We start from the raw sequence: 5,619 nt of genomic DNA, 5'->3' as shown, positions 1-5,619 counted from the left end.
GAAATCAAGGACAAGCCGGTGGTAGAGTAGAAGGAAACAGCTTTATTGAAATGGCAGTCCTACAGCTCTGTGACTGCTCCTGCAGAGCAGGGCTTCCCTGCAGGCAGAGAGTAGCAGCTCAGGGCAGTTTTGGAGTTATATTTATATTGATTTCTAATTACATGCAGATTAAGGGGAAGTTTATGCAAAAATTTCTAGGTAAGGGATAGTAACTTTTGGGTCACTAGGTCATTGCCATGGAAAGGGGCGGTAACTCCAGGTGTTTCCATAGCAACAGTAAACTGACATCGCACACTGGTGGCATGTCTTATGAAAAGTTGCTTTCCCCTGTCATCGTCCTGTTTTAGCCAATCCTCAATTTGGTCCAATGTCTGAGCCCCACCTCCAGAGTTGAGCCCTGCCTCCTACCGCAGTGCACCGCACAGCTCAGGGCAGCCTTGACTTTCTGGGCTCAAGCAATCCTCCTACCTCAGCCTCCTAAGTAGCTGGGACCACAGGCATGCACTGCCATGTCCAGCTAATTTTTTGACTTTTTTGTAGACAGAGCCTAGAACTCCTAGGCTCAAGCAATCCTCCCTCCTTGGGCTCCCAAAGTGCTAGGATTACAGACGTGAGCCACCGCACCTACCCTGATACTGTTGATATAATTTTGTGTCTTGCTTTTTTCCACTTTCTCCTATGGCATATAAGTATTTCCTCATGTAATGCCCAAGTCTTTATAAATAGCATCTTGAATGGCTGGGAAATACCCCACAGAGGGAGTGCCGGGCCGTTTCCCTAGCCAGTCCCCTCTTGCTGGACCTCGTGGTTGTTTCTGGGACATGAGTAGTCATCAGAGCTGGCAGCCAGCAGCAGGGAAACTGGTGGAGGCCCGGTGTGGGATCTCAGGCCGACTGGGCAGGCCTGGGGCAACGAGTCTGGAAGGCTGGCTGAGCTGCATTCACCGGCCACCTGCAAGGCCTGGCGCCCAGCTGTCGCCACTGTCAGACCTCCTCATCTGCAAGCAGCTTTATCTTCATTTCTGACGGATCTGCGGGGCCCCTGCCCTGACACTTCCTCTTTATGTCTCTCCCTCTCAGAGCCTCTCTGTCAAGTAGCTAATGAACTGTAAACAGACACTCCAGTGCCCCAGGGGGACCCTCCAAGGAGCTCGCAGAGCTGCCTCTCGACAGCAAAGAAACCTCAGGGAGGCAGATAATGGCCGGCCAGTATCAGCCCCGCTGGCTGGCGGGGACAGAGACTGTGAGTCCCTGCATGTGCTCTCCCTGCTGGGGACACAAAGGCCCAAGGGGCAGAGGGATGGCAGGGGCTCTCCTTAGACAGCCTGTGCCCTCAGATGCCATTGCTTATTGCTTTGGAAGCCTCAGTGGGTCCCTGCCCCACCTTCCTTGTCCCTGTCCCCCAGCCTCCCAGCTGTGTGTAAGCCTGGTTCATGGCTAGACTCAACAGAGGACCTTTTGGAAAATGCAGATTCCCAGGCTCCTGAGGCTAAAGATTGGGACTCAGTGGGTTGGGTGGGACTCCCATCTGATTAGATTGTCAAAATGCTTTGGGGACCACTGGTCTAGGCCGGGGACACACCCAAAGCTTGTTCAGAAGCCCTCTTTTCTGGGCAGCACCCCAGGATTGCCCCCTCCTCACTTGGAGCTTGGGGTTGCTGTGCTTTTAAGGAGCCCTGATGTCACTCCATTCAGGGTGGGATGGGCCCTTTACACTGCATCTCTCTGTTAGGCTTGGAGCCCTTTGAGGCCTGGCGCACAGTAGGTACTCGACCACATTTAAGGCGCACTTTGCCTTGGGCCAGGCGTTATCTTACATTCCCCCCTTTCATCCTCACAGCACTTTGTGACGTGGGGCCTTTTATTTCCACTCCCATTTTACAGATGAGAACACTGAGGCCCAGCAAGGTTGCATAACTTCCCCAGGTCACATGGCCTGTAGGAGGAGGATAGGATTCAAATCCTCTCCCCTCATTGCTACGCCATGGATACAAGTCTCTTATCAGATACATGATTCACAAATGTTTTCTCCCATGTTGCACATTGTCTTTTTACTTCCTTGACAGTGTTCTTAGAAGTTCAGAAGGTTTTTTTGTTTTTGTTTTTGTTTTTGTTTTTTGAGATGGAATCTCGCTCTGTTGCCCAGGCTGGAGTGCAATGGTGCCATCTCAGCTTACTGCAACCTCCGCCTCCCGGGTTCAAACGATTCTCCTGCCCCAACCTCCTGAGCAGCTGGGACTACAGGCGAGCGCCACCACGCCCAGCTAATTTGTGTAGAGATGAGGTTTCAGCATGTTGGCCAGGCGGGTGTCGAACTCTTGACCTCAGGTGATCCACCTGCCTCGCCTCCCAAAGTGCTGGGATTTCAGGCGTGAGCCACCACCCCCGGCCAGAAGTTCAGAAGTTTTTAATTTTGTTAAAGTCCAATTTATCTGTTTTGTTATTTTGTTACTTTTGCTTTTGGTGTTGTATCTGAGAAGGCTTTGCCTAACCCAAGGTCATGAAGATTTACTGCTATGTTTTCTTCTAATAGTTTTATAATTTTAGTTCTTACATTTAGGCCTATGAGTCATTTGGAGTTAATGTTTGTGTACAGTGTGAGGAAGGATCTCATGCCTTTATTTTTAAATTTTTTTTAGAGACAGAGTCTCAGTCTGTCACCTAGGCTGGAGTACAGTGTGGTATGATCATAGATCACTGCAAACTCTAACTCCTGGGCTCAAATGATCCTCCTGCCTCAGCTAGGACTGAAGGTGCACACCATCATGCTGGCTTTCTTTTCTTTTCTCCTTTCTTTTCTCCTTTCTTTCTCTCTCTCTCTTTCTCTCTCTCTCTCTTTCTCTCTTTCCTTCTTTCTCTCTTTCTCCCTTTCTTTCTCTTTCTCTCTTTCTTTCTTTCTCTCTCTCTCCTTTCTCTCTCTCTCTCTCCTTTCTCTGTAGAGACAGGGTCTTGCCATGTTGCCTGGGCTGGTCTTGAACTCATGGGCCCAAGCAATCCTCCTACCATGGCCCCCCAAGTGGTGGGATTACAGGAATAAGCCACCATGCCTGGCCTCTACTCTTTTGTTTTGCTCACAAGTATCCAACTGTCCCTGCATTGCTTGAAGAGGCTCTTCTTTCCCCATTTAGGGCTCACTTTTGAGGACAGGAGGGAGGCAGGTTTAGCAGTGTGTCTCCCCTGGCAAGTCCCATTACTCAAATCTCAGAGGTCCCAGAGAGGCCATGACAAGCCTCCAACTAGAGCCACCCCAAGCCCTGGATTTTCCATCTCAGGGTGACTCTCCGGGAACGCGGAGACACAGAGGGGAATCGGAGGGACACAGAGGTTGGCACAGCCTGTGAGGGAGGGCAGTCACCCCAAGGAAGATGACCCAGGCCATATACAACTTTCTAGGGAGGTGCTGGAGCTGACCTCTGCCTGCAGAGGGAATTTCGCAGGTCTGGGGACTCTAGAAGGAACACTGGGGAGGGGTTCTGCCAAGTGTTTGGGTGGGGGCAACAGGACAGTCTGAGTCAACAAGATTCTCCCAAAGCCAACTCCTTCAGCTCTCCCCATGCCCATCTGATGGCGACTCCTCAATCCCCAAGAGGGCTTCCCTGTGCCAGCTGGGGCCCTCCCGTGGCCTTCTCCCAGGACTCCTGTGTTCCTGCCTCCGGGTCTTTGCACCTCCTGCAGTCTGGGATGCTCTACTGAGTCTCTCCAGTGCTGCCTGCTGCTTGCTTCAAGGGCCGCCCAGAAGCCCACCCTGTTTCTCCCCACCTGCTCTGGAGCAGGACGTTGCCTGCTCTCACCTGGAAAATCCGGGGACAGCAGAGCCCTGAGACCGTCGAGGCCAGAGGTTTGCACACTGTTCCTCAGGGGTCTCTGCAGGGCCAATGGGCAGAACTTTGGATCCTCCCAGCCACCACCTTCCAGACCCATTTCACATACGGAACTTCCACTGAAGACTGTTTATACAGAGGGTCCCATGATTTGAGAAGTTTGAAAACTGACTGATCTAATCCAATTCCATCATATTACAGCTGCATGAATGAAAGCCAAGGAGAAGGGCCTTGTCTAAGTCTCCAGAGTAGAGCTGAAATAGAACATGGCCCCCCGATCCCCCTGTTCCCCCAGATCCTGTCCCTGTGTCCGAGAGCTTCATGGTCCCCTCCCATCCCCTGCTGCTGAAGCCCCAGTTGGGCTGTGTGCTCAGATAGAAGTAGGGTGAGCCCCCCACCCTCTGCCCCACCTGTCTCCCCACGGTTGAGTTTGCTGCCCTGGTTCCCCTGCCTATCTACAGCCAAGCTAATAAAATCCTGCAGTTTCCATAGATTGTAGGGTCCCGCCGAGCCCTCCGGCTGCTTTAGTTTCCAGTTGGTTTTGCAAGGAGGGGGAAAAGGCAAATGCCTATCACTCCACCTTTGGAAGGAGACGATGAATAGTAACTCCTTTATCTCTGAAGGAGATCTTTTCATGCTTGAAATTCCCTGATCTTGTCCCAGATCTGCCTGCAGGGATTCAAGATGGCATCCCCCACCCCATGCGGATTTGCTGACATCCTCAGATTTGTGTCAGGCACAAGGACCAGGTCCCTGGGGGAGGTGAGGATGCCCAAGCGGGAGGCATGAAAGAGCGGGGTCCCCGCCCTGGTGAGGGGGGTGAGTAGCTCTTCTGGTGCCACAGAGGGAGGGGAGGGTGGGGTCTTGGGCTCAGAGAGGGGTCTGAACTCATCATAGAATGCGGTTATGTGTGTTTGTGTGTGTGTGTGTGTGTGTGTGTGCGCGCGCGCGCACATGCACGTGCGTGCACATGCATGAACACTTTTGGGTGAAGGGACTGGCAGCTCAGAGCCTGCGTGTCCCCTCTGGTTTGGGGTCTTGTTTGAGGCAGAGAGGCGTCAAATGGGTCCACAGAAGGGAGCGGTGGCAGCTGAGGGAGCCCAGTGTCTGAAATGAAACATGGATGAGGCTTTAGCATCCTGGTAAATTGGTAGCTGGGGCTGTGGGCGGTGCTCCAGCTGGGGCTGGAGGCCCTGGCACTTGTCTAAACTGATAATGGCTGTTCTCAGTGACTCCCGCCTCCTCACCTCTGGTCTTCCCTCCTTGTTTGAGCTTATCGCTGCACCTCTGGGGTGGGGGTTGGGGGATTAGTGAAGAGATAGGATGGGGTGGGGTACAGTGGGGGGCCTGGAGAGAGCTGGTTCTCTAGGGAAGAAGCCCAGGGGGCTGGATGAGTTCCGTTCTGGGGAGGGGGGGCAAGGGATGTCCTGATTGTCAAACTGAGGCAGCTTCTTTCAACCCTACAGGGATAGGGACAGTTCATGCCCTATTCTCCTGCACCCCAGTGCCCAGTACAAGTCCTAACATGAAGGTTTAACTAGTATTACTAACTGGATGAATGAGTAATCTCTGCATCCTGTTCCTTCAAAAGCTTACTCTCTGCCAGGTGTCAGCTAGTAACATGGTCTGAACTAATCTACGTGCTTGCATCATGGCCACTAATCTATTCATTGACCGATATTTATTGAGCACCTACTATGTGCTAGACAAAGTCCCTGTGGTCAAGAAGCTCACAGTCAGTGCTAAAGGCTTGCAGCTCTCAGGGAACATTTCAGAGGCAATTTCTTAAACCAAAGGAG

The 5,619-nt window shown here is 52.2% G+C and overlaps 1 annotated feature.

The window, feature by feature from the left end:
• Positions 4,802-5,303: an enhancer, noted in NCBI's record as "H3K4me1 hESC enhancer chr1:11619527-11620028 (GRCh37/hg19 assembly coordinates)". NCBI's record gives its function as "activates a minimal SCP1, AML or CMV promoter by ChIP-STARR-seq in naive H9 embryonic stem cells {active_cell/tissue: H9 hESC(naive)}" and the evidence as "EXISTENCE:reporter gene assay evidence [ECO:0000049][PMID:30033119]".

The sequence above is a fragment of the Homo sapiens genome, chromosome 1 (genome assembly GCF_000001405.40).
Source record: "Homo sapiens chromosome 1, GRCh38.p14 Primary Assembly".
NCBI classification, from domain to species: Eukaryota; Metazoa; Chordata; class Mammalia; order Primates; family Hominidae; genus Homo; species Homo sapiens.
Note: the sequence above shows the minus strand (reverse complement) of the source record. Positions and strands in the feature narration are given on the sequence as shown.